Raw genomic sequence first — 27,471 nt, forward strand, 5'->3', positions numbered from 1 at the left:
CAGTCCGGCGGGGGCGCCGCGGAGAGCGGAGGGCGCCGGGCTGCGGAACGCGAAGCGGAGGGCGCGGGACCCTGCACGCCGCCCGCGGGCCCATGTGAGCGCCATGCGGCGCCGCGCAGCCCGGGGACCCGGCCCGCCGCCCCCAGGGCCCGGACTCTCGCGGCTGCCGCTGCCGCTGCTGCTGCTGCTGGCGCTGGGGACCCGCGGGGGCTGCGCCGCGCCCGCACCCGCGCCGCGCGCCGAGGACCTCAGCCTGGGAGTGGTGAGCGCGCGGGCGGGACGGGCGCGGAGCTCCTGGGCCGGAGCCGGGGGTCTCCGCGGGCCGGGTGGCGGGGACCGGGAAGACCCCAGCAGTGCACGTCGGCGTCGCGCGGGAGCCCTGGCGCCCTGGACCCATTTCCTGGGTGGGGAGACTGAGGCAGGGACGCGGGCTGAGCGACCGGGCGAGCGCACGCGAGTCCTGGGGAGGCGCCGGCTGCCGTCCCGGCTCCGTGCGCTGGGAGCGCGCCGCAGCCGCAGGAGCCCGTGGAGTTGTGAGGGGGTCGCCCACCCGGAGCCCGGGTCGCCGGCTTGCAGCAGCCCCGGAGCAGCCGGGCTGGGCGAGAGCAGGCATCGCGGCCGCCCCGAGCTCTGCGCGCTGCGTGCGTTCCGGGTGGGAGTGGCGGGGGCAGGAGCACGCACCCACAAAGCGAGGAAGGGCAGGGGCTACGGAGTGGGGGCACCCCGAAAGCCTTGAGCCCCCGAGTTTGCTCGGTTGAGGGTGTTGGGGGCACAGGGATGCTGGCCCCCAGCTCCCCACTGGACAAGGACCTGGCCCTCAGCCTCCTTCCCCTCCACCCCAGGTCGGCCAGGCTGGCCCTGCCTTGCCCTGGTACAGTGCTGAGCCGGGGGCGCGGGGAGAGCCTTCCTCACTCCACACCCAGTAGCTGTCCCCAGCTCAGCTTAGAAACCCTGCCTGGGGGCAGCGACGTGGCCTCTTCCTACAGCCCCCTCCCCTGTTCCGCAGCCGGGACTCGCGTCTCCTGTGGACCCGGAAGATTTAGAGCACACGTCGTGGGGTCAGCGCCCCCCCGCTGGGGCGGCCGGGTGAACTCCCGCTGGGTTCGTTGGTTCCTTCTGAGGCTCCTGCCCCACCGCTGCCTTCAATGGACTCCTACCCAGGGAGTCGGGCCAGGAGCCGAGGCCTCCCCGCCCCACACAAGTACTCGGCCTGGCCCTCGTCCGCGGACAGTCTCCCAGTGGGGTCCTGGCAGGGCCCCTCGCCCAGCGCAGTGGACATTCAGGAGCTCCAAAACCTTGGGGTCCAAGCAAGTCAGCGCAGGTGTATTTCAGGCAGTCGAGGCATATGGAGGGGCCACTTGGGTGGCACCCGCAGCCCCTGTGGTTGGCAGGACTTGGCCAGGGGGTCTGGATGGGAAGCCGATTTGGCCACCGTTTGCCCCAGGCCCCGAAGCCATCTGGGAGGGTGCTGGCCACTGTCCCTGCTGCCCGCGTCCAGGTGCCTGCAGGTCCCCACAGTGGCTTCCTTCCAGCCAGGCAGCCTGTGAACTTGGGGTGCCCCCCTCCACCTCCTCAAGACCCTTTTGTAGGTGCGGATCTCCCGGATCCCCCACTGAGAATCACGCCCTGGGGGCCTGGGGTCTCCAGCTGTGGAGGGAGGTGAACCCAGGCCCGCCTTCCAGGTCCGAGGGTGCCGCAGAAGGGGCCGGGGCAATGCCAGGGAAGGACTCAAGGTGGGGCCCACACACTCAGGAGGATGGACCCCCGGCCGAGCCATGTTGGCTGATCAGACCCAGTGCGGTTTGGAAGTTTCTCGCCACCCACCTGCCCCCCTGCCCGGAGAGAGTGGGTCAGGCGCCCTCCTCTCGGCTGGTACCTGCGCCTCGGTCTCTCCTGGCACCCCGGGGGTCACCCGCCCCGCGCCCTGCGACAGCACCGAGCGGAGGATGTGGCTCCCCAGCCTGGCCGGGGGCAGTGAGTGGGGCCCCGGTGTCCAGCCGGAGAGGGAGGACGCTGCGGGCAGCCCCCTGCCTGGAGCCCCGCTCCGTGTCGGGCCCGGCCTGGCGTGGAGCCTCCGTCCTGCCGCGGCTTCCTGCTCACACTGGCGGTGCGGGGCGTCCTCTGCTGGCCCTCGGGGAACCGCGGGCCGAGCTCAGGCCCAGGGGCGGGCGGCTTCCCCGCGGGGAGGGACGAGGAGGCCGGGATCTGGGCGGGAGCGGGGACTCCTCCTCCGCCCGCTCGCCGGAGGCGCTCCCGGAGTGGACTGATATTCAGGTCTGGGCGCCAGGGACGAGAAGTGCTCCTTTGTCTCAGAGCTGCAGACAGAGCTGCACCCAGCAGGGCTGGAGCCGGGGCTGGAGGGGAGGGCCCGCCCCGGAGCGCCCCCCGTATGCACGTGAACAAGGCCGGGATTCAGGCTGCTGGGCTGCGGAGCCGGGCTTTCAGGAGCCCCCGGCGGGGACAAAAGAGCGCACTGTCCCCCCGGGGGTCCTTGGCGGGGCTGCTTGTCCTTGTGGGCCTGAGTTTTTTGTCTTTCTGTGTTTTGAGTACGACATACAGCGAGCAGCCCAGGGTCTCCACAGGCGTCCGCCTCCCTCCCGCCCCTGGTTCCTGGGCACGGATGGGACGCGGCTCTCCGTGCCTTATTTTTGCACGGTGGCACCGTGGGCCGTGCGATTGCAGCTTCGCACGCTATCTGGAGTGTCTGTGCCGGAGCCGCCCGTCTATTCACCTGGTTAAGCCAGGCTCGGCCTGCAGCCTGCTTCTGGCCAGAACTTCCCGGACTCGCGGCGAGAGTGTCTCGGGATCTGGGTCCTGGGTGGCAGTTGTGTGGTGGCAGATTTTGACAAGCTGCTCTAAAGTTTCTGCTCCATTTCTCCTCTCGGCAGCACAGCCTGTGGCTGTCATCACCGCGCCCACGGCACAGTGGCAGCTCCCTTGATCTTCTGTAGGAGGTGGGGTGGGGCGGGGCAGGTGGGGGGTACTGCTGAGGTTGTGGGATGCTGGGCCAGATGGTGCCAGGTGGCAGCCGCCCTCCATGTCCTGGCTTCTGCCGGTGGCCTCTGGGTTCCTGGCCCTCAGGACCTTGTCATCGCCCTGGCTGGGGCCAGGGTGTCCCCTCTCACCCTGCAGCTGCTCCCAGAGCTTCAGGCGAGCACCCCCAGCCAAAACCAAGACAGGCAGGAGGGTTAGACCATGGCCTGATTTCGCCATGAGAGACGTCTGACTGTCCCTTGCTCCGCGGTCCCCTTCTGACAGCCGTCTTCATGGCTCCGGGGATGTTGTTTGCCTTGGACGTGGGCTTTGCCACCCAACTAAGTGCCGGGCCTCAGTCTCCCTGTCTGCGCAATGGGGCCAGTGAGGACAGGCTGCCGTGCGATCAGCGGAGGTGCTTCCGATGGTTCAGGGACAGGAAGGGGGAAGGCTGGAGAGGATCTGGGGGGGGACGGGAAGGGGGAAGGCTGGAGAGGATCGGCGTGGGGGGACCGGAAGGGGGAAGGCTGGAGAGGATCTGGGGGGAGATGGGAAGGGGGAAGGCTGGAGAGGATCTGGGGGAGGGACCGGAAGGGGGAAGGCTGGAGAGGATCTGGGGGGTGACGGGAAGGGGGAAGGCTGGAGAGGATGGGGAGGGACCGGAAGGGGGAAGGCTGGAGAGGATCTGCGGGGGGAAGGGAAGGGGGAAGGCTGGAGAGGATCTGGGGGGGACGGGAAGGGGGAAGGCTGGAGAGGATCTGGGGGGGGACGGGAAGGGGGAAGGCTGGAGAGGATCTGGGGGGGAAGGGAAGGGGGAAGGCTGGAGAGGATCTGGGGGGGACGGGAAGGGGGAAGGCTGGAGAGGATCTGGAGGGGAAGGGAAGGGGGAAGGCTGGAGAGGATCTGGGGGGGACGGGAAGGGGGAAGGCTGGAGAGGATCGGGGGGACGGGAACGGGGAAGGCTGGAGAGGATCCGGGAGGGGGATGGGAAGGGGGAAGGCTGGAGAGGATCTTGTGGGGGAACGGGAAGGGGGAAGGCTGGAGAGGATCTGGGGGCACTGCAGGGTGTTCCCTGACACAGTGTCTTCCTGGGGGTTCCAGGGGCACTTTGCGCATGCGTGAGTTTGCCTCCTTGTTGGCAGCAGATCCCGTGGGACGCTTGCCCTGGCTGTGGACGCAGGGCAGGTGTCAGACGCATGCAGGGCGGCGTTTCTGTCACGCAGTGGGTGGGAGCCTCCTGGGCACCCGCCTCTGGGATTCGGGCCCTCCTGGGCACCCGCCTCTGGGATTCGGGCCCTCCTGGGCACCGTCTGAGTGGGACAGGACGGCAGGGACAGGACGGGGTGTGGAGCCTGGCTTCCCCTGTGGACCCTGCAGTAATAAGCAAGTCCCCTCCTCATGTTGGCCCCAAGGGCTCCACGCGATCTGGCCCACCTCCTTCTCCACCCCGCCCCCTGACTCTGTCACACCCGCTCCTCTGCGCTGTGTGTTTTCCCTGCCAAAGGGCCTTTGCACTTGCTGTCCCCACCACCGTGAGCATGTGAGCACCGCCCCACGCATCACCTGGACAGCTCCTTCCGTGTCCCCCAGGATGTTCCCTGAGCACCCATTTCATCAGCCCTCCAGCCCATCCCTCACCCCCACACAGCACAGTGGTCACAGGCGGAGACCCGGAAGCCAACAGCCTGGGCTGAGCTGAGGATACATGTCCGAACTCCCTGTGCCTCCGTGTTCTCATCTGTAAACTGGGAGTAATAAGAACACCCACTTCATAAGGTTAACCCTCAGTTGCCTGTGAGCACCTGCTTTGTGCCAGGCACCCTCCAGCAGGGACCACCCCCAGCCTTGCAGTGCCTGAGGGACATGGGCACGAATGACGTGGGCATGGTTGGGTAGTGCTGGATAACTGTTGGCTGTTAGGATCGAATAGAGCAGTTATTACTGTTCAGGACATAATGACCGCCTGAGACGCGTGTATGTGTTCAGGTGTTTGCTATTTATCTTCCTCACGATCCCGTCTTCCCCTGTGGGCAGTGGGATGGGGTCCCGCGGTCTCAGTCTCTCCCCAGTTGCTCAGACAGACGGATTCAGGGGATCTGGCAGTGTCCCTGCGGAAGAGGCTGGAGCAAGGGGGTCACTCCAACCGAGGGTCAGCCCCCAGAGGAGGCCGGTGCAGGGGAACCCCGCATGGCTGAGTGGGTCAGACGTGGTTGCTGGGACCACACCACAGCTCCATCACTGACCGTGTGCTGTGTGACCGTGGACAGGTTATCCACACTCTCTGAGCCTTAGTTTTCTCATCTGTAAAATGGGGCTGATGACACCTGCTCTCCCTGCCCCCAGGCCCCATGCAGGTTGGGTCACAGATGAGTATGGGGGTCGGGCCCTCATTCATCTGCAGGGGCCAGGCCCAGGCGCCACCACCATGGCACAGCAAGGCCACACATGCACCCGCCAGCCAGGGTGCCCTGGGCGGGAGGGGCCGTTACAACCAATCAGTGCAACCCAAAGCCCGGGGACGGGGCCTGCACTCCATAAACTCCCCAAAAACCATAAATTCCCTAAAAACCGTCAAAGGGAATTCTGTGCTGTGTGCATTACGCCCTCTTAAGGCTGGAAACAGATACGCATTGTGTCAGACAACAAGCATGGCTGAACGGTGAATCCAGAGTGGGCCTGGGCAGCTGCCTGCATCTGCGTCAGAGTCAGGGGCTGTGGGTGCCCACTTCCTGCCTGTGCCCCCCAGGGCAGGGCTCTGCCTCTGGCCTCTGTGTCCCCATCTTTGGTAATGGCCCAGCCCATGGGAGGAGCAGGAGAGCGGCCGCCTCTCCTAGGCAGCTCCAGAAATCAGCATCAGCCAGGGGGTGGCTGCCGTGGGTTGGGGCTCCCTGGAGCTCCTGGCAGCCCCCTCCCGCCTCCTCCCTCCTCCCGGCAGCCCCTCCCCCTCCCCAGTGGCCTTCTGGAAGGTTCACCCTGCTGCTGCTGCAGCACCCGCCCGCCACAGCCTCTGTTGCCCTGGAGACAGCGGTCTCCGTGGCGACAGCAGAGGGAGGACCAGGCGGCGGGTGGGCGTGGAGGGGGGCAGGTAGCAGGTTCCCAGGATCAGACGCCCCCCTGCCTGCGTGGGATCCACAGGCTCTGTAGGTACTGGGGGCAGGGGGCAGGGAGGGGGACACCTGGAGCGGGGAGTCTGGGCCCCCACCCCAGCGGCCATCCTACAGCAGGCATCCCCCTACCCACTGTGGGTGGGAGTGGGTCAGGGTAGAGGCCTGGCGGGAGAGGAGGGGTGGGGAGGGGCAGCCACATTTGCCCTGAGCTGCTGGCTGCAGTGGGGGGGTTTGCCCCAGGACTGTGCTCCAGGCCTGGTTAACCCCTACTCCCCTTAGCTAACAAGCCCACCTTGCCACCACCACCACCCCATTAGCCTGGGTCAACATTTCCAAGCCCTAGCCAGGAATCAGCCGCCCCCTCCCAGATGGACCTGAGCTGCCTGGTGAGCTGCCTGCCGCCTCTTCCCTGCAGGCTCAGGCCTCCCCACAGCCGCGCCTCCACCCACACTGGGAGCACAGGACAGGTCAGGGCTGGGCGAGGGCGCCTCGTGGGCTCAGGAGGCCCCCTGGGGCAGGTGGCCACTTCTACCTGTGTCCACCCGAAGGCTGGTGGCTCCCAAACCTGCAAGGCTTGTTCTGTTGGGGTGTCCCTGGCAAACTAGGAAGTGGTTCCCACCCTCTCACTCCAGCCCCCAAGACGGCCCCTCCCAGGATGCCTAGCCTGAGATTTGGGGCACAGCCCCCTGAGCACAAACTCGTGTTAGGTAGGAGGCACCCACCAGCCCTGCCCCACAGACCCACCACCCCCCAAGATTCGATGCCATTCTATGCTCAAATTCCAGTGCCTCTGGGGCCACAGGCGACAGTGCCTGTTTATCATGGGCGGGGCTGCCTGTCCCGGGCTGGTGCTGGGGCCCTGGTTCTATGAGTTGAAGCAGGCTGGCCGCTCACACCTGCAACTAAACCACCTGCTTCCAAACATTGGGCAACATTCCACAGCCACTGGGAGTGCTGCCTGCCAGGCCCGGCTCCACTTTCCTGAAATGCATGTGGCCTCGTGGCCAGGCTGCCCAGCTCCCTGGGGACCAGAGTGGGGGGTGCCCCAAACCGCCACCGTGAACCCCACAGAGTAAATGGGCCACTCAGTGCAGCTACCAGCCATGACCTCAGCTTATAGACGGGAAGGCTGGGGGGTGAGTTGTCCTCCCAAGGGGTCTCAGCACCTGCTGGCCCAACCCAGGCAGCAGCTGGCCTGGGTGGGAAAGGCACCTGCCTGTGTGGACCCTTCCCTGGTGAGGGGGCAGGGGGTCATCATCCAATATCATAGATGATGTGAGGAAACTCCAGAGTGCTTCCTGGAGGAGGTGACAGGCTATTGTAACCATGAGGCACAGTGGCCCTGTTGAGCTGTGATCTTAACAAAGGACTAAAAAGTGCAGAATGTGCTGATGGGCATCTCCAGCACCTACAGCGGTGACTGATCATGGGACACCCTCAGTAAACCCTGCAGGTGCAAGGTAGTGTGGGACCGGATGCTCGGGGCCAAAGATCCCCACACCCTGGAGGTCAGGGCGGAAGTGGGAGGCCAGCTTGTCAAGGCCAAGGCTGTCACCCCCAAGGCCCCTCCAGAGAAGCTGCCCACCCCAGTCATGAACGTCCACTTTGACGTCCTGTCGTGCCTATAGCTTTGGAGGGGCCCCCAGTTCTGTACACACTCTTGGCTTCCCCAAGGGGCTGAGGGGCTGGGCTGGGTCAGTAGGGTTTGGAAAGGGGGTAAAGGCACAGAGGGGGGCCCCGGGAAGGACTCAGTGCTTCCTGGAAGGGGGATCTCGGGGTGTGCAGATCCCATGTAGTGTCTTGTGAGGCCCCTCCTGGCCAGCACGGCCTGTTGCTGATGCCCCTGGGACTTCCAGGATGGTGGTGCCTCATTCCTCTGAGCACTGCCTGCTGGTGGGCAGGAGGGTTGGCCAGGACCACCCCATCACCAGCTCCTGCAGACCAGAACCTGGAGGCCCAGCAGGTGGCATAAATGAGTCACAAGCATTTTCTTTTTTCTTTTTCCTTTTTTTTTTTTTTAGGATTTCTTTAAAAAGTTATGTTTTTTTCATTTATGCATTTTTTTAGGTTAAGCCACATGAAACTACTAGTATTTATTTTAAATCAGAAATGGTCAAAAATGGGCACTTTCATATGATTTGGCCAATGAATACATGAGAGGTGGTAAATAATAGCGATTCACAAGCATTTTCTAAATGTCCAGAGAAAAAAAAAAAGACAGGTTTGCAGGCAGGGCAGAGCCCCCAGCACATCACCCCTGGCTTGTACCTTTCTGGAGCCCGCCTCACCCCTGCTGTGGTTCCCTGGGCTGGCGAGTATCCACAGGGCAGAGCAGCAGCTTCATGGCAGCCTGCAAGTGGGCACAGGCGCCATTTGGCGGTTGAAGAAACTGAAGCTAGGGGTGGAGGTAGCCCCCACAGATGGCACCCAGGCCTGCCATCCCCAGGTCCCCACGATGGCACCCAGGTCCCCACAGATGGCATCCAGGCCCCCCTGTCCCCAGGGCCCCTCCAGGGTAGCAGAGATGACTGGGGCATGGGGCCAGGGCTTGATTTATGCCCAGGTTAAAGGGCTGCCCTCATTCCTGCTCCTACTCAGCTCCGGTGTGGGTAGCCTTGCACCCACCCCAGTGGGCCCTTCAGAGCAGAGCTGTCCCCTGCGCCAGGTGCTGGTGTGAACATTTTCCACGTCCTGGCTCACGTCCTCATCACCAGCCTGCCAAGGACTCTGAGGAAGGAGCCCAGAGGGGTGGACTGCCTTGCCCCAGGCACACAGCGGGGAGGTGGCTGAGTGGGATTTGAACCTAGGCAGCCTGGCTGGAACCTGGCTTTTGTTTCTGAGACAGGGTCTCGCTCTGTTGCAGACACAGTCTGCAACTCCTGTGCTCAAACGATCCTCCCGCCTCAGCCTCCCAAAGTGCTGGGATCTCAGGCATAAGCCACAGCACCGGCCAAGCCTGGGCTCTTATCTCCCCCATGAATGTACAGCATGGCCCAATTCCTTAAACTGGTGTCTGAGCCACAGCCTTTCTCAGCTGGGGTCCCAGACCTTGGATGCTAGACTTCCCTGTCACAAGTCAGCTGAGAGCCTGCATTTGACACTGGCCACATTTAAGAGCCTTTTGAAGGTTCCCTAGCATTTTGCGGTCTCAGGAGGCGTGGGGTGGGGCAGGGTTGCCATGAGTGGTTGTACAGGTCGTGCACGGCACAAGCTCACACCATCTAAGGGACATCAGATTTATTTATTTATTCATTTTTTAGATGGAGTCTTGCTCTGTCGCCCAGGCTGGAGTGCAGTGGCACGATCTCGGCTCACTGCAAGCTCCGCCTCCTGGGTTCCCACCACTCTCCTGCCTCAGCCTCCCGAGTAGCTGGGACTACAGGCACCTGCCACCACACCCGGCTAATTTTTTGTATTTTTAGTAGAGACGGGGTTTCACCATATTAGCTAGGATGGTCTCCATCTCCTGACCTCATGATCCGCCTGCCTCGGCCTCCCAAACTGCTGGGATTACAGGCGTGAGCCACAGCACCCGGCCAGGGACATCAGGTTTATTAAGACACTTTTCCGGCAGCTGCCCAGGGAAGAGACAAGAGGTGCCTTGTGGGCAGATAGGGGGCTGGGAGGGGGCCTGCCCGGAAGCAGTGGTGGCCCGTGGCAGGCTTCTCACTGGGTAGGACCGGGCCCTCTGTTGCACCCCCTCACCCTGCTCTCTGCCCTCAGGAGTGGCTAAGCAGGTTCGGTTACCTGCCCCCGGCTGACCCCACAACAGGGCAGCTGCAGACGCAAGAGGAGCTGTCTAAGGCCATCACAGCCATGCAGCAGTTTGGTGGCCTGGAGGCCACCGGCATCCTGGGTCAGTTCTCCAGGGGGCAGCGGGAGCGCCGTGGCCCCCGTCAGGTCTGCGCCCGTCGGCCATGCCCCCTCTGATCAGGCACAGTCCCGTCTTATGCTTGAATGAACCTGGGTCCTGGCCTGGTGTAGCTCAGAGCCTGGGGCTGGTCCCCCAAAGATGACGTGGGAGGAGGGGGCGGCTCGGAGGCTGGTGCCAGAGTCAGGGCTCCCACCCTTGCGGATGCTCGGGATCCTAGGGTGGGGAGTGAGCTGGGCTAGGCTCTGAGCTCCATGCTTTCCCTGCAGACGAGGCCACCCTGGCCCTGATGAAAACCCCACGCTGCTCCCTGCCAGACCTCCCTGTCCTGACCCAGGCTCGCAGGAGACGCCAGGCTCCAGCCCCCACCAAGTGGAACAAGAGGAACCTGTCGTGGAGGTGGGTGTGTGGCCAGGGTGAGGAGCGGGGCCTCCGTGGAGGTGGGCGCGTGGCCAGGGTGAGGAACGGGGTCTCCGTGGAGGTGGGCGCGTGGCCAGGGTGGGGAACGGGGTCTCCGTGGAGGCGGGTGCGTGGCCAGGGTGAGGAACAGGGTCTCCGTGGAGGTGGGCGCGTGGCCAGGGTGGGGAACGGGGTCTCCGTGGAGGCGGGTGCGTGGCCAGGGTGAGGAGTGGGGCCCCCATGTCTCCGTGTCTGGGCCTGCTGTAGATATCCACAAACCAGGGTACTTCAGACAGCAGCAGGAGCTCTCTCCCCACTCTGGAGGCCAGGAGTCCCTGCAAAGGAGTAGGCTGGATGGTGCCCTGGGGAGGTAGAGGGAGCATCTGTCCAGGGTTCTATCCAGCTGTGCAGTTGCTGGCAGCCCTCGATGGAATCACCAGCCTCTGCCTCCACCCTGCCCTGTCCGCGCGCAGCCTCCTCTCCCGTGTCTCCAGGATGCTCCTCGGATTTAGGGCCCACCCTGATCCAGTGTGACCTCATGTCAACCCCTCATGACATCCACAAAGACCCTATTTCTTTTTTTTTTTTTGAGACAGGGTCTCACTTCGTCACCCAGGCTGGAGTGCAGTGGCGCAGTCACAGCTCACTGTGGCCCTGACATCCTGGGCTCAAGCAATCCTCCTGCCTCCGCCTCCCGAGTAGCTGGGACTGCAGGTGCATATGACCACACCCAGCTAATTTTTTTCTTTTTTTTGACACAGAGTCTCTTTCACCCAGGCTGGGGGGCGGTGTTGCAATCTTGGCTCACTACAACCTCTGTCTCCTGGGTTCAAGCAATTCTCCTGCCTCAGCCTCCCAAGTAGGTGGGATTACAGGCACGAGCCACCAGGCCCAACTAATTTTTTGTATTTTTACTAGAGACAGGGCTGGGCATGGTGGCTCACGCCTGTAATCATGGCACTTTGGGAGGCCAAGGCGGGCGGATCATTTGAGGTCAGGAGTTCGAGACCAGCCTGGCCAACATGGTGAGACCCCGTCTCTACTAAAAATACAAAAATTAGCTGGGTATGGTGATGTGTGCCTGTAATCCCTGCTATTCGGGAGGCTGAGGCAGGAGAATCACTTGAACCTGGGAGGCGGAGGCTGCAGTAAGCCAAGATTGTGCCATGGCACTCCAGCCTGGGAAACATAGTGAGACTCTGTCTGAAAAAAAATAAAAATAAAATAGTAAAGACAGGGTTTTGCCATGTTGACCAGGCTGGTCTTGAACTCTTGAGCTCGAGCAATCTGCCCACCCTGGCCTCCCAAAGTGCTGGGGTTACAAGTGTGAGCCACCACACCCAGCCAACCCTATTTCCAAACCAGGTCATATTCTAAGGTTCCGGATGGACGTGAATTTGGCGGGACACTATGTGACCCACTCACCTTCTGCTGTCCCCCGGAGTCAAAACTATCTCAGATGGGCCCTGGCTAGTGTGAGGGCTGGTGAACCGAGAGAGCCCCTTCAGTGGGGAGCAGGGGGATGGGGCAGACGGGACGCACCGTTGAGGGCCCTGGGGCTGATGGCTCCACGCGGGAGCTGACGTTTGCCTGTGGCCTGGGGGTCTCAGCCTGCCTGGGCTCTCATTTCCCTCCCTCCGTCATCTATCCCAGTGAACTACTGGAACCGCCGTGAGTGCATCGGATGACTCCTGGCGTGGGGAGGAAGGCGGAAGATGGGGGAGACCCTCATAGGGGCACCCCCGGGCTGAGGAGGGGCGTTCAGGGAACCTCGGCCTGGGGCACGTGGCCTGTTCTCCGTGACTCACTCTGGGCTGACCCCTGCCTGCAGGGTCCGGACGTTCCCACGGGACTCACCACTGGGGCACGACACGGTGCGTGCACTCATGTACTACGCCCTCAAGGTCTGGAGCGACATTGCGCCCCTGAACTTCCACGAGGTGGCGGGCAGCGCCGCCGACATCCAGATCGACTTCTCCAAGGCCGACCATAACGACGGCTACCCCTTCGACGGCCCCGGCGGCACCGTGGCCCACGCCTTCTTCCCCGGCCACCACCACACCGCCGGGGACACCCACTTTGACGATGACGAGGCCTGGACCTTCCGCTCCTCGGGTGCGTCTGGGGCAGCCCTCAGGGCAGAGTCAGGAGCCCCAGCGGCCTGTGAGGCTGAGGAGCAGCCATGGCCCCCCCATCCCCAACCCTGCGGCTGAAAACACACGCGGCTGCTCCTGAGCACGGCTGGGCATTTCCCACTAGGCCGATCTCACAGCATCTGTGCTCGGCCCGGCTGACCTCGCTGGGTGCTGGCCTGTCGGGCAGGGACACCGCTGGCTGAGCCGAGCTTGTCCTCATCACGTTCTCAGCACCTGACAGAGCAGGAGGCCTGCGAGGCCTCTGTGGCCCCGGCTCAGTGTCACTCCCGCTAAGTCCCGTTGTCTGCAGAAGTCTCAGCTCTGCAGAGGCTGTTCTGACCTCTGGACTGTAGCCTTGGGAACCATGCAGTCCTGGGAGCCCAGGCCCGTCTTGTGGGGCCAGGGGTCAGTGCCCACAGCATTGGGCCTCAGGTCATCCGACCGACACCTGGCCCCATGTAACCCAGGCCCCAGGCACAAGGTGTTATCTGTGTGGCCTTATGCAGAAAAGGTTATCAGCCGCTCCATGAATGGTACAAAGACCCCAGGCCTGGGAAGCCCAGCAGGCCCCACAGAGCCCCCAGGGGAATCGCGTTAATTCCCAGTAACCCTGCAGAATCCCTCTGGCGCAGCCGGCATCGAGGCATCCCCATGGTCACCCCAGAGCATGGTGGGGGCCTGCTGGTCCCTCCCCGCGGGGACAGGGCCCTTCTTGCCCTTAGTTCACATGGCTCCCTGTGTCCCCAGATGCCCACGGGATGGACCTGTTTGCAGTGGCTGTCCACGAGTTTGGCCACGCCATTGGGTTAAGCCATGTGGCCGCTGCACACTCCATCATGCGGCCGTACTACCAGGGCCCGGTGGGTGACCCGCTGCGCTACGGGCTCCCCTACGAGGACAAGGTGCGCGTCTGGCAGCTGTACGGTGAGTGTCTCCCCGAAGCCAGACACAGGGCCCCTGGAAGAGGGGTCAGAAACCCCAGGCACCCCTGAGCAGAGCCCCCCCGGGAGGGTTTGCTCTCCCCGCTGTTCCCTCCACGGATGGTGCCGTGCCAGCTGGGACGCTCTGGCCTGTCCACAGAGCCCACCCCTGACGTCCCCAGAGCCCCTAGATCAGAATTCCACCTCTGCGCCCCAGACACTGGTGGAGTTACGACAGGCAGGGTTGATGGCGTCCCAGGCCTGTGCAAATCACATTGCACGTCTTAAATCATCTGATCTTTGTGGCCATATAAGGTAGGACTACTGTCCCCACTTTACAGATGAGAAAACTGAGGCACCCAGAGGTATGTAGATTGCCTGGGAAACCCAAGAGTAGCCAAGTCAGGCACCAGGGACCCCTCTGCTGGGTTCACATCAGGAAGTGAGGCAGAGCCCCTGTCCTGGGAGCTGGTGCCCCGGGGAGACAGCACACGTGCATCAGAGGCCGACGCGGTCACCTCACTTATACCCAGCCCCAGCTGCCCTCCACACCGCCCACCACACCCTGCAGTAGTGCTGCCCCTGCCGCCCGGACCCTCCCGGCCTCAGCATCGTCCTTGCCGCTTCACATGCTCTGACATCCATGCATCGTTTCCACTGTAGTAAAATTCACATCCCATGCAATTCACTTTTTTGGCCGGATGCAGTGGCTCATACCTGTAATCCCGGCACTTTGGGAGGCTGAGGCGGGTGGATCACTTGAGGTCAGGAGTTTGAGACCAGCCTGGCCAACATGGTGAAACCCTGTCTCTACTAAAAATACAAAATTAGCCGGATATGGTAGCAGGTGCCTGTAATCCCAGCTACTCAGGAGGCTGAGGCAGGAGAATCACTTGAACCCGGGAGGCAGAGGTTGCAGTGAGCTGAGATCGCACCACTGCACTCCAGCCTGGGTGGCAGAGTGAGACTGCCTCAAAAAAAAAAAAAGAAAGAAATTCACAATTTCAAGGTGTGTACTTCTATGCGTTCAGGACATTCACAAGGTTGTGTGGATGCCACCTCTATCTGGTTCCAGAACTTTTTCATCACCCACTACCACCGAAGGAGACCCGACGCCCATCCCATCCCCCCAGCCCCTGGCAACCCCTGACCTCCTTTCTTCATAGATGGGCCTCTAATGCAGCCATGCAACCTTTTGTGTCTGGCTCTTTTTTTTTGAGATGGAGTCTCACTCTGTCACCCAGGCTGGAGCGCAGTGGCGCGATCTCGGCTCGCTGCGACCTCAGCCTTCCGAGTAGCTGGGACTACAGGTGACCGCCACCACGCCCGGCTAATTTTTTGTATTTTTTTTTTAGTAGAGACGGGGTTTCACTGTTAGCCAGGATGGTCTCGATCTTCTGACCTCGTGATCCACCCACCTCGGCCTCCCAAAGTGCTGGGATTATAGGCGTGAGCCACCGCACCTGGCCTCTTTTTTTTTTTTTTTTTTTTTTTTAGAGATGGGGGTCTCACTATGTGGCCCAGGCTTGTCTCAAAACTCCTGGGCTCAAGTGATCCTCCTGACTCAGCCTCCTGAACAGCTGGGACTACAGGCATGCACTATCACACCTGGCTAATTTTTAGATTTTTTTGTAGAAATGGGGTCTCACCATGTTGCCCAGGCTGGTCTCAAACTCCTGGGCTCAAGCAATTCTCTTGCCCTGGCCTCTGAAAGTGCTGGGAATACAGGCACGAACCACTGTGCCCGGCCCGGCTTCTTCCACTGAGCATAGCGTGTTCCAGGTTCACCCCATGGTAGCATGGATTTGACCTGGATTTATTCTCATGGCTGAATAGTTTTGTCATCATGCAGCCTATAGCAGGCACTGGGTTGTCACCCCTGTTGGCTGCGGTGAACAGTGCTGTGAAGGCTGGTGTACGAGCTCCTGTGGGAACGCCTGTCTTCAGCTCTTTAGGGTGTACCCCGGGGTGGAATTGCAGGGCAGTGCTCACACACTGAGTGTTTAACTCGGCGAGGGGTCTGACTCCCACCTCGACGTCAGCTCTGGGGGCAGCAGTCTCGCTGATCGCAGCTGCGCCCCCACAGAGCCTGTCTGCTGAGTGGCCTCGGTTTCATCCCTGGGATTCAGAAGGGCTGGTGGGATGTGGGGGGAGGCGGGCGTCGGGGGTTTGAGGCCGTCCTCCTCCTTGTCTCCCGCAGGTGTGCGGGAGTCTGTGTCTCCCACGGCGCAGCCCGAGGAGCCTCCCCTGCTGCCGGAGCCCCCAGACAACCGGTCCAGCGCCCCGTAAGCCCTGGGCCCACGGTCACCACCCGCTGGGGTCTGTCTGTCCTCATCCCTGTCCCACGCAACATTTGCCCCAAATCGTGGCTCAGAGTCCTGGGAAACGCACAGCTGTGTGGCCGACTGAGCCCCCAGTGACATTTTGTCTTTTCTTAAACCCCATCTAATACCGGCCCTCCCCTGCCAGGGGTCCTGCACAGAAATGAGAACTTCAGACAAGGTTTCCTCTCCCCCTCGTCCCTGTCAGCTACTGCCATGTGACAAGCAGCCCAGCTTGAGGAATGTTTCATCAAGCTCATGGATTCCCAGCATCAGGAAGTCAGGCAGGGCCTGCGAGTGTCTGGCCTGTGCCCCCAGCGGGAGGGATGTTCACTGCCGGGGCCCACATCTGGTGCCAGGGCTGGGCCCAACTGGGACGGCCACTGGGGCTGCTCCACGAGGCATGACCCTCCCACAGCAACTGGATTCCCAGTGAAGTTGTCTTGAGAGCTGGTATTGCCAGAGGCCGGTAGAAGCTGTGACCTTGTGCCACCCAGCCCCAGATGTCACAGGACCGTACGTGTAACCCTCCCGGTTAAAGCTGCGAAGGAGCCACGCTCTGTGTCGAGTCGTCTCTCGGTGGACATGCACCTTGTCCCTGACCTTCTGTCGCTACAGCCACGTCGCTGTGAACACGCTTCTTGTAGGACCGAATTCTAGGCCCGGGCTTGGGGTCCCGTGGCGTGGGGTCCCGTGGCGTGGGTGTTTGGCACCCAGCCAGGCCCAGGGTGCTACACCAGTCTCCACCCCTGAGCTCCTGCCCTCCCCGCAGCTCCCTGGCGCTCTGTATGCTCAGAGCGTAGATCTCGGCCCCCGCCCGCTGAAGCGGTGGACAGGCACCCCCGTTTTAATTTGCCTTTAGCAGACCTCTAGGCAAGGATAGGGGCTCCACACAAGGATGCCTGTCCCATGCCGCTCAGGTCAGGGGCTCTGCCGCAGGATGCCCTGTCCCGCGCTGCCCAGGCCCCGCCTCCCAGCCCACCTGGCTCTCTCCCTGCAGGCCCAGGAAGGACGTGCCCCACAGATGCAGCACTCACTTTGACGCGGTGGCCCAGATCCGGGGTGAAGCTTTCTTCTTCAAAGGTACCTCCAGGGTTCCCGTGGCGGTTGGCTGAGGGCCATGGCCCACTCTGGGTGCAGACCGTCTCTGCAGCCCGGCCCTCCCCTCTGTGCCCCCAGGCAAGTACTTCTGGCGGCTGACGCGGGACCGGCACCTGGTGTCCCTGCAGCCGGCACAGATGCACCGCTTCTGGCGGGGCCTGCCGCTGCACCTGGACAGCGTGGACGCCGTGTACGAGCGCACCAGCGACCACAAGATCGTCTTCTTTAAAGGTGGGTGGGCCTCCCCGTCGCACTCCGGGCTTCCCGGGCCCTCTGTCCGCCTCATGGAGGGACGGAGAGGGTCCAGCCTGCGTGTAAGCCCTACGTCTGCCCAGAGGCTGGTCGAGCACAGAGCAGCTGGTTTGCTTGTGCACTCAGCAGATGCACTCTGAGCACCTACTGTATGCCCCGTCCTGAGGCAGCCGCTGTAGGCACACAGAGGGCAAAACGATGGAAAGCCCTGCCCTCGTTCTAGTCAGGCCACAGTCCACCCGCAAGTCAGGAGGAGCTGATGCCAGTGCCGTTCGGTGTGGTCAGAAATGAAGGACAATGGGGAGAGGTCTCCTTAGGGAGATGCTGTACAAGCAGAAACTAGGGAACAGTGTTCCAGCCCGGGGAACGGCCGTGCGAGGCAGGAGCAGCCCTGCCGAGTCCCAAAAACATCAAAGGGGCTGCAGCTGGAGTACCAGGGGCCTGGAGGAGGCTCGGGACAGAAGCGTGAGGGGCCGTGGCTGCTAGGGCCGGCCTGCCTCTCCCTGGTCGGCCCCGGTGCCCACCGTTCCAGGAACCACCTCGTGGCAGTGTTACAGGAAGCACTCCTTTTGCCTCCAAGTCTCCGGGAAGGGCAGGAAAGGGAGACAGTAGCAGGGGCAGGTGGGGGTGGCAGGGCTGCAGGACAGAGACCCCCATGCTGGGCTGAAACACCCGGAGTTTCCCTCACAGTCTGGAGGCCACGAGTCCGAAATCAAGGGCTAGGCAGGGTGGGTCCCCTCTGGAGGCTGTCCCAGGCCTCTCCCACATCCAGTGTCACCCTCAGCCACATCCCTCCTGCCACCGCCTCTGTCTCCACCCGGCCGTCTCCTCCCCCATCTCCGCATCTTCTCTTATAAGGAAGCCGGGCCTTGATTCAGGTCCCCTAGTCCTGTTTGTTTTTTGTTTTTTGTTTTTTGTTTTTCTGAGACAAAGTCTCACTCTGTTGCCCAGGCTGGAATGCAATGGTGTGATCTCAGCTCACTGCAACCTTCACCTCCCAGGTTGCAATTCTCCTGCCTCAGCCTCCCTAGTAGCTGGGATTACAAGGTGCCCGCCACCACTCCTGGCTAATTTTTGTATTTTTAGTGGAGACAGGGTTTCACCACGTTGGCCAGGCTGGTCTCGAACTCCTGACTTCAGGTGATCCACCCGCCTTGGTGTCCCAAAGTGCCAAGATTACAGATGTGAGCCACTGCACCCGGCCTGCCTAATCCCATCTTAACTCATCTTAACTAACACATCTGCAAAGACCCTCTTTCCAAGTAAGGTCACGTCCTGAGATTCTGGGTGGATGTGAGTTTGGAGGACGTCATTCAATCCAATGTGGCAGCCACTCCCACAGTCACGGGCGGGACCCCGTTTCCTTGCCGAGGTAAAGGGTGTTCTGCGTGTCTGTCAGGGGAACCACTTCCTGTAACTCCATCGCCTGCCCGGCCCTCAGCATTTGACTCCGTCACCCCCATCACCTGGGAGCCCTCCGGTGACTGTTCCCGGAGGCCTGATCCCTCCTGAAGGGACAGAGGCTGCAGCTACCTGGGAGGCTGAGGCAGGAGGACCACCTGAGCCAGAAGGTCAAGGCTGCACTGCACCATGATCGTGCACTGCACTCCAGCCTGGGCGACAGAGCAAGACCTTGTCTAAAAAAAAAAAAAAACCAAAATGTCACGCGCAGTGGCTCACGCCTGCAATCCCAGCATTTTGGGAGGCCGAGGCGGGCAGATTACAAGGTCAGGAAATCGAGACCATCCTGGTTAACACGGTGAAACCCCGTCTCTACTACAAAATACAAAAAATTTGCCGGGCGTGGTGGCGGGCACCTGTTGTTCCAGCTACTCGGGAGGCTGAGGCAGGAGAATGGCGTGAACCTGGGAGGCGGAGTTTGCAGTGAGGTGAGATCACACCACTGGACTCCAGCCTGGGTGACAGAGCGAGACTCCGTCTCAAAAAAAAAAAAAAAAAATCCCCAAAGACAGTACCTGGACTAAAAAAGAAAAAAGAAAATTACTTGCAAACCTCATGACCAATTGCTCCTAACCTCCCCTAGGCCACCTTGCCAAAGGCCCCAGGGTGCCCTGTAGAGCCTCCCCGAGCAGGATCCCATCACGTGCGGCTCCCCTGCCTTGCACACATTAGAAGTGTTCAGGCCGCTTCCCCCAGGTGGACCCGTCTGGCATCTCCTCCAGATCAGGTTCTGGTTTTGCACATCTGGCAGGAATGCCACCGAGGGCAGGTGTTCTGAGCCCCGAGCCGCCCTGCCTGGTGATGTTCGCTGTGGTCACCTGGATGAGGTGTGTCTGCAGGTTTCGCTACCATAAAGCCCCATTTCTGGGTGTGAGGGGTTGGTCACCTGCCAGGAGAGACTTGAGAACATGTGGGTCTCTTGCCACAGGCCGTCTCACCCCTGCTCCCCCTCTGTCCCCTGTGTCGCCTGCCCCTGCCTGGTTCCCTACCAGGCGCATCTGTCCTGGTTCCTGCTCAGCCATAGCAGGGCAGGGCCCATTGGTCCTCCCATCATCTCCTTAATCCCTCCCCCTATTTACAGACATCACAGCCCTTTCCAGTCTCCAGCAAAGGACTTTTTCTGGTCTTTTTATATTATTTTTATTTTTAATTTTATTTTACTGTATTTTTTTGAGACAGAGTCTCACTCTATCACCCAGGCTGCAGTGCAGTGGTGTGATCTCAGCTCACTGCGGCCTCGACCTCCCAGGTTCAAGCAGTTCTCCTGCCTTAGGCTCCTGAGTAGCTGAGACTACAGGCGCTCACCACCGTGCCTGGCAAATTTTTTGTATTTTTGGTAGAGACAGGGTTCACCGTGTTGGTCAGGCTGATCTCAAACTCCCGACCTCAGGTGATCCACCCACCTTGGCCTCCCAAAGTGCTGGGATTACAGGCATGAGCCACCACTCCCGGTCTGGTTTTTTGGTCGTTTTAAATTGTGGGCGTGGTGAGCACACTTTACTATTTCAGCCATTTTGAAGCCACAGCTCGGTGGCATGAAGCACGTTCACGTTGCTGTGCAGCTGTCACCTGCGTCCACCTCCCGAAGATTTCCACCTTCCCAAACGGAAACGCTGCCCCGTGAAACACGGATGCCCCGCCCCGCCCCTGGGCAGCCCCGCCCCTCCCCTGGGCACCCCCACTTCGCTTGCTGTCCCCATGGCTCTGAGTGTTCCAGGGACCCCATGTCAGTGGGACAGACAGGATCTGCCCCTCTGTGCCTGGCTCGTGTCACTCAGCGGAAGGTCCTCGGGGCTCATACACGCGGTGGCACGTGGCAGGATTTCCTTCCTGGCTGAGGCTGAGCGGCATTCCATGGCACGGACGGACTGCACCTCGTTCGCCTGCTCACTTGGGTTTCCTCTACTCTGGGCTCCTGTGAAGGACGCTGCTATGAGCGTGAGTGTGCAAACGTCTCTCCAAGACCCTGCTTTCGGTTCTTTTGGATTTATACCCAGAAGCGGGAATGCTGGATCACGTGGTAATTCTATTTTTGACGTTTTGGGGAGCCTATGTTCTGTCTCCCGCAGCGGCTGCACAATTTCATACTCCCTCCCCGGCAGCGCCCGGCTCTGCCGTCCCCATATCCTCCCGACACAGGTGACTTTCCACGTTCTTGACAGTGGGGGCGAGGGGGCGTCTCATTGTGGTTTTGAGGGCGTTTCTAGTGACGTTGACCATCTTCAAGTGCTCAATGCCATCTATATTTCTTGGGAGAAAAGTGTATTTAACGCAGGGCACGGTGGCTCACACCTGTAATCCCAGCACTTTGGGAGGCCAGGGCGGGCAAATCACCTGAGGTCAGGAGTTCGAGACCAGCCTGGCCAACATGGTGAAACCCCGTCTCTACTAAAAATACAAAAATTAGCTGGGTGTGGTGGTGGGCGCCTGTAATCCCAGCTACGCGGGAGGCTGAGGCATGAGAATCGCTTGAACCCAGGGGCGGAGGTTGCAGTGAACCGAGATCAAGTCACTGCACTCCAGCCTGGGTGACACAGCAAGACTCCGTCTCAAAAAATAATGATCATAATAATAATAGGATGGCATGTCGTGGGCCTCGGTTTGGCCCGAGTTGTTGTTTCCATCGGTAAAGGGGTGGCCGGCAGCGTCCACAGGCTGGATGGGATGGCCCGGACTGGGCACAGTAGGTGCTCACTAAGTATCCATGTGGCCCCTGTGATGTGGGGTGATTGCAGTGTGGCCGCTGTCCCATCAAGCCCAGGTGAGGGGCCAGGGCAAGGGCGGCTGACACAGGAGAAGGAAAGGCAGGAGCCTCCTGCCCTTCGGGGTGGGGCCGAGCCCCGGCCCACAGCTGTTTCTCTCGCCCCCAGGAGACAGGTACTGGGTGTTCAAGGACAATAACGTAGAGGAAGGATACCCGCGCCCCGTCTCCGACTTCAGCCTCCCGCCTGGCGGCATCGACGCTGCCTTCTCCTGGGCCCACAATGACAGGACTTATTTCTTTAAGGACCAGCTGTACTGGCGCTACGATGACCACACGAGGCACATGGACCCCGGCTACCCCGCCCAGAGCCCCCTGTGGAGGGGTGTCCCCAGCACGCTGGACGACGCCATGCGCTGGTCCGACGGTGAGTGCCAGCTGGGGGGACGGGCCATGCGGCCTTGGTTTCCCCACCAGGAGAGGGGCATCACTACAGGGCAGCCAAGAGGTTCCCTGAAAGGAGGACGGCCCCGGTCGGTGTGGGCTCTGAGGGTCCCAGCCCCTCGCCTGGAGCTGCCGACCCTGCAGGCGTCCCCGAGTCGCTCCCCGAAGGCCTGGCCCACGAGCTGCCCTTGTTCTCCCCGCCCTCAGCACTCCCTCGCCCCTGCTGCTCCCCCAGCCACGCTCCTGCCCCAGGGCCTTGGCACTGGCCATGCCTCGTCTGGGCACACTTTCCTGAGATGTCCACACAGCCCCTCCCTCGCCGGCCCCAGCCCTGCCAAACGCCCTCCTGGGCATCACCCCTGCCACGTCCCACAGTGTAGAAGAAACCTCCCCACAGGGTCAGCTCCAGGGACGGCAGCATCCTCTGTTTTGTTTTCAACGCTGCATCCTTGTCACCTGGAACAGCCCTGCACAGAGTGGGCCCTCAATAAATATCCAGTAAGGGAAAGAGACTCTGAGGGTCTCCTGGTCCATCCCCTGCCCCAGCAGGCTCCTCTGGAGCTTCCCAGGCCTGTGACCATGCCTGCAGAGCTGCCCACAGCTGAGCAGATGCTGACCCCATCTCAGATATTATCTGGGCACCCCCTGCCATCTAGCACGAGCCGCCCCCCACCAGCCGTCTGGTCTGACCCCCCACTGCAGTCTTGTGCAAGCCCCCTGCTGTCTGGCCCGACTCGAGCCCCTTCCGCTGCAGCCCTCCCTGAGCCCAACGCTCCCTCCTCGCTGTCCGGCTCGAGCCCCTCCTGCTGCAGCCCTCCCCTGAGCTCAGCTCTCCCTCCTCTTCTCAGGTGCCTCCTACTTCTTCCGTGGCCAGGAGTACTGGAAAGTGCTGGATGGCGAGCTGGAGGTGGCACCCGGGTACCCACAGTCCACGGCCCGGGACTGGCTGGTGTGTGGAGACTCACAGGCCGATGGATCTGTGGCTGCGGGCGTGGACGCGGCAGAGGGGCCCCGCGCCCCTCCAGGACAACATGACCAGAGCCGCTCGGAGGACGGTTACGAGGTCTGCTCATGCACCTCTGGGGCATCCTCTCCCCCGGGGGCCCCAGGCCCACTGGTGGCTGCCACCATGCTGCTGCTGCTGCCGCCACTGTCACCAGGCGCCCTGTGGACAGCGGCCCAGGCCCTGACGCTATGACACACAGCGCGAGCCCATGAGAGGACAGAGGCGGTGGGACAGCCTGGCCACAGAGGGCAAGGACTGTGCCGGAGTCCCTGGGGGAGGTGCTGGCGCGGGATGAGGACGGGCCACCCTGGCACCGGAAGGCCAGCAGAGGGCACTGTCCGCCAGGGCTGGGCAGGCTCAGGTGGCAAGGACGGAGCTGTCCCCTAGTGAGGGACTGTGTTGACTGACGAGCCGAGGGGTGGCCGCTCCAGAAGGGTGCCCAGTCAGGCCGCACCGCCGCCAGCCTCCTCCGGCCCTGGAGGGAGCATCTCGGGCTGGGGGCCCACCCCTCTCTGTGCCGGCGCCACCAACCCCACCCACACTGCTGCCTGGTGCTCCCGCCGGCCCACAGGGCCTCCGTCCCCAGGTCCCCAGTGGGGCAGCCCTCCCCACAGACGAGCCCCCCACATGGTGCCGCGGCACGTCCCCCCTGTGACGCGTTCCAGACCAACATGACCTCTCCCTGCTTTCTAGCGGCTCGGCTGGGCTCCCTGGTGCTCCAGGGCCATGGGAGTGGGTACCCTCGGGCCTCAAGGGGCTTGACCCTGACCAGGGGCCCACGCACCTGCACTTGGGGTGGGGGCTTCCCAGGAGGTCTCGGCAGTCGCATTCCTCCTTGTTCATCAGCCCGTCCCGCGCTGTCTCTTCCAGTCCTCGTGCCCCGAGGAGTCCCCACGCCCCTGTCACAGATGGGAGAGTTGAGGCCCAGCGGGGGATGAGCCTCAGTGCTACAGGCAGGGGCATCACGGGCGGGCGGGGCGCCAGCTGGCCCAGTGAGATCTGAGTGTGGGAGGTGCCCGAGGAAAGGCATCAGTTGTTGGGTGAGCCACTTGGGACGCTGTCTGCCCCGCAGCACTAGACCATGATGCCCGGCCGAGCACCGGGACCTGGGTGCGCCCAAGAGGGAGGGTAGGTGCTCCCTGCGCAAGAGGGAGGGAGGGTGCTCCCTGCAAGGGGCTGATTCTAGCTCCAGCCACTCTGTCACTTGCTCCCTTTGCTCCCAGCCTCCAGATCCACAGCGGAGTCCCTCAGCCTGCCCCCACTCTGGCCGGCGAGTGACGCGTCTGTCCTGCAGTACCCTCTTGTTCAGAGGGTGCAGCCGATGCCACTCTGCAGGGCCCAGTCCTCCCGCTGGTGCACAGTCCTCTGGTCTCTGCGGCACAGACGCACCCCGGGCCACAGGTTCGGGGCCTCAGGCTCTGGCTCACCAGCATCTGCCCTGGGCTGTGGAGGGCCCGGGTGCCCCCTCAAACGTGACTCAGTGAGGATGAGGAGGTGGCCGTTGGACTGTGGGGGATTCACTCCCACATAGCAGGAAGTTCCTGACCACAGGCCCAGCATAGGGAGCGGCTGGGGCCACCCAGGGTGCAGATGAGGCTTCCTGGCACCCAGGAGCCAAAGCCCACAGCCCCCTTGTCCCATCCCAGGGATGGCACCCATCCCAGGATGAGGCTGCCAGGGCCGGGCAGGCAGGCCCCAGGCCAGGCCTCATGGAGCCGGGCCACCTCCCCGTGAAGAGAGGCCACATCCTCATGGAGTCCAGCCGTGTCCTCTGTCCCCCGCCTGTTCACCATCTGCTCCCTGGAGCAGGAGGAGTCCCTGCCTGTCAGACCAGTCTGTGGAAAGACCGACCTCCCTCCTGTCTGTCGGGGACACTGGCTCTGCCCTGCACCAAGTGGTGTTTCCTCATCACGCTTTGTTGCCCAGCAGCCTGTGGGGTGAATTCCCCCGTGCAGCTGGCCCAGCCCCGTGGTCCCCACGTCCTGGGTCGTGCCCCAGTGCAAAGCCGGCTGTGGGCCTTGTCTGCTGAGTCGGGCTCTCACGTTGGCAGGGCTCACTGCGGTTTTGAAGTCCAAACTCTCCGTCATAAGCCTCTTCTGCCGGTCCTATCTCTGGTGAAGAGGTGAACCGTAGGCGGGGCAGGGGGGCTGCTCTGAACTTGCCTCTCCATGCTGCAGCCCACCTCCCTCTGGCAGTGGGGTGGCCGTGCTGGGTCCTGGGGCAGGGCCTGGAGCCCCGCCAGCCCATGACGCATTTCATGAGCCCCCACCTTTTGATATGCACATGCAGCTGAGGCTACCCTGACCCCACATTCAAAGTCGGAAATCCCCAAAACCCAAGACCTTTTGAGCACTGATGGGCTCGGGGTGCACACAGAACATTTGGGATTTCACTTTTTTTTTTTTTTTTTTTTTTTTTGAGACAGAGCCTGTCGCCCAGGCTGGAGTGCAGTGGTGAGATCTCAGCTCACTGCAACCTCCGCCACCCAGATTCAAGTGATTCTCCTGCCTCAGCCTCCCGAGTAGCTGGGATTACAGGCAGGCACCACCACGCCTGGCTAATTTTTGTATTTTTAGTAAAGACAGGGTTTCAGCATGTTGGTCAGGCTGGTCTCGAACTCCTGACCTCAGGTGATCCACCCGCCTCAGCCTCCCTGAGGTGAGGCTAGGATTACAGGCATGAGCCAACACACCTGGCCAAGTGGCAGTATTTGAAAAAAGAAAAGCAGAGAAAAATGCTCAACCTGTAAGTATAATGCAAATATAGTGTCCAAACTCCAAACAATCTGAGCTCCAAAACACTTTTCTGGTCCTGCGCGTCTCGGATGAGGAACACGCGGGCAGGGCGTGTTGTTTTGTGGAAAGGATCTCATGTTCATAGAAAGCTGCACCCGCAGCATGAGAGTCCTCTGCATCCTTTGGGAGGCGCTGACCACCCTGAGCTCGCTTCTGTGTCTCCTGGAACGCAGGTGTCCTCCCAAGGTCAGAGTTGGGAAAGACACGCAGCCAGTGGATCTCAGATCAGAGGATGCTGCAGGGACAGACCTCACCCAGGGCAGCCTTCTTTGGCCCGGCACAGCTCCCGGGCCTTCCCCGACCCCTGTGACCTCGCACCTATGAGGGCTGCCGGCCCGTCCTTCTGTGGTCCATGCCCCCGGCCTGTCCGCCTGCACCTTCCTCGTGATGGGACCTCGGTTCTGTGTCTTCAGCAGGCAGTTTTCCATCTTCGCCTGAGTCACCATCTAAACACCTGGAGACTTCACGTGACGTTCTGGATTTTCAGAGTCACTGCTTATACCTCAGGCTGTGCTGGCCCAACTTGGAGAAGCTGTGCCCCCAGGCCCAGGAGGCAGGGCATCGCCAGCCCACAGCCACAGTCAAAACCCTCCGAAGGAGGTCAGAGGACCCACGCCACCCCAGTGAGGGGCAAGGACCTCTTCCCTTCTTCCTTCCACCCCAGGGAGGTCAGCCTGGAGGCCCAGGGTCTCTCTTGAGCCACACGGCCGGGCCAAGGCACTGGCTGCCCTTAGCGTGACCCAGGCTTTTGACCAAAAACACACAGCCCCATGGGTGCTATACAACGCCTCTGCATGGGAGACCTCCGAGGCCAGGACACACCCTCTCCAGCTCCCATGATACAGGAAGGGAAACTGAGGCACGGTGTCTTAGCTCAGCTTGCCGTGACAGGCTGCTGTAGACCATGCGGCTTCCACATGGGTGACCTCTGAGGCCAGGACACACCCTCTCCAGCTGCCGTGTTACAGGGAGGGAAACTGAGGCACGGTGTCTTAGCTCAGCTTGCCGTGACAGGCTGCTATAGACTGTGCGGCTTCCACACAGGCATTTGCTTTCCCACCAATCTGCAGGAGTCTGAGGTCAGGATGCCGGCAGGGTCAGGTTCTTAGAGGCCCGCTTCCTGGTTCAAAGCCAGCACCTTCTCACTGTGTCCTCACAAGCCCGAGAGAGAAAGTGCTGGTCCCTTCACCCCCTACCAGGGCACCAATCTCATTGTGGGGGCTCCGCCCTCACGACCTCATCTAACCCAAATCGCCTGCCAAAGGCCCCCTCCTAACACCATCACACTAGCGGTCATGGTTTCAAAATGTGACTGGTGGCCGGGCACGGTGGCTTATGCCTGTAATTCCAGCACTTTTGGAGGCCAAAGTAGGAGGATCGCTTGAGCCCAGGAGTTCAAGACCAGCCTGGGCAACACAGCAAGACCCCATCTCTACTAAAAACTTAAAAACCACACACACACGCACACACACACACACACACACAAAGATGTCTGAGGAGACACAGACATTCAGTGCATAACATCCAGGGTGGATGGGCCAAGGCTGCCCGGTGGGTGGGTGGCCCCAGATCCCAGCCGCACCTGTCCCTCCCTGCCACCCTCCTGGCCTCCTTCAGAAACCCTGTGGGGAGTGGATTGTGGGGGCTTAGGAGGCTCTGGCGGGAGGCAGATCACCCCAAAGCAGCATGAGTGACAGCTAAGATGCCGGGCCTGCCCTGCGATCTGCGACTGCAAACTCACTGAATCCTGGCAGCGACACTGAGCGGAGGGACTGGGTTACTTCTGTTTCCCAGATGAGGAAACTGAGGCCCAGAGCTGGCAGAGAGCTGTCCGAGCCCAGGTGTTCAGGGAGGGGCGGAGCCAAGTGTGAAGCCAGCGGGCACACTCTGAGGTCGGGCTGAGAGCAGCACTCCCTTGCCCAGGCGGAGGGACCGCAGGTAGCAGGACACTCTCGTGGGAATCCTAAGGACGCCAGAGCACACCG

The 27,471-nt window shown here is 61.7% G+C and overlaps 1 protein-coding gene across 12 annotated transcripts, besides 4 other annotated features; it reads left to right on the plus strand.

Moving 5' to 3' along the window:
* Window positions 2-23,380, plus strand: MMP17 (matrix metallopeptidase 17). Of its 12 annotated transcripts, NR_182296.1 has the most exons (11): window positions 2-262; window positions 9,804-9,936; window positions 10,221-10,350; window positions 12,182-12,465; window positions 13,233-13,409; window positions 15,606-15,690; window positions 16,727-16,809; window positions 16,906-17,058; window positions 20,361-20,679; window positions 21,548-21,668; window positions 22,534-23,380. NR_182296.1 is itself a non-coding variant. In NM_016155.7 (10 exons), the coding sequence occupies exons 1-10, from the start codon at window positions 104-106 to the stop codon at window positions 22,881-22,883; spliced, it is 1,812 nt and encodes a 603-aa protein (NP_057239.4). In that variant the 5' UTR covers window positions 2-103; the 3' UTR covers window positions 22,884-23,380. The 12 variants fall into 12 exon arrangements, 8 of the variants coding, with proteins under 8 accessions (NP_057239.4, XP_016874796.1, XP_047284817.1 ...); NR_182297.1 differs by lacking the exon at window positions 20,361-20,679; NM_016155.7 differs by lacking the exon at window positions 20,361-20,679 and having other exon boundaries at window positions 21,411-21,668.
* Window positions 1,729-2,338: an enhancer, noted in NCBI's record as "H3K27ac-H3K4me1 hESC enhancer chr12:132314665-132315274 (GRCh37/hg19 assembly coordinates)". NCBI's record gives its function as "activates a minimal SCP1, AML or CMV promoter by ChIP-STARR-seq in naive H9 embryonic stem cells {active_cell/tissue: H9 hESC(naive)}" and the evidence as "EXISTENCE:reporter gene assay evidence [ECO:0000049][PMID:30033119]".
* Window positions 1,986-2,245: a silencer, noted in NCBI's record as "silent region_5100". NCBI's record gives its function as "represses an Ori minimal core promoter by ATAC-STARR-seq in GM12878 lymphoblastoid cells {active_cell/tissue: GM12878}" and the evidence as "EXISTENCE:reporter gene assay evidence [ECO:0000049][PMID:35858748]".
* Window positions 4,171-4,780: an enhancer, noted in NCBI's record as "H3K4me1 hESC enhancer chr12:132317107-132317716 (GRCh37/hg19 assembly coordinates)". NCBI's record gives its function as "activates a minimal SCP1, AML or CMV promoter by ChIP-STARR-seq in primed H9 embryonic stem cells {active_cell/tissue: H9 hESC(primed)}" and the evidence as "EXISTENCE:reporter gene assay evidence [ECO:0000049][PMID:30033119]".
* Window positions 23,056-23,225: an enhancer, noted in NCBI's record as "experimental_25928 CRE fragment used in MPRA reporter constructs". NCBI's record gives its function as "activates a minimal promoter by MPRAs in K562 erythroleukemia cells, with activity observed for both the introgressed and non-introgressed 12:132336077 variant alleles {active_cell/tissue: K562}" and the evidence as "EXISTENCE:reporter gene assay evidence [ECO:0000049][PMID:34662402]".

The sequence above is a fragment of the Homo sapiens genome, chromosome 12, assembly GCF_000001405.40.
Source record: "Homo sapiens chromosome 12, GRCh38.p14 Primary Assembly".
NCBI classification, from domain to species: domain Eukaryota; kingdom Metazoa; phylum Chordata; class Mammalia; order Primates; family Hominidae; genus Homo; species Homo sapiens.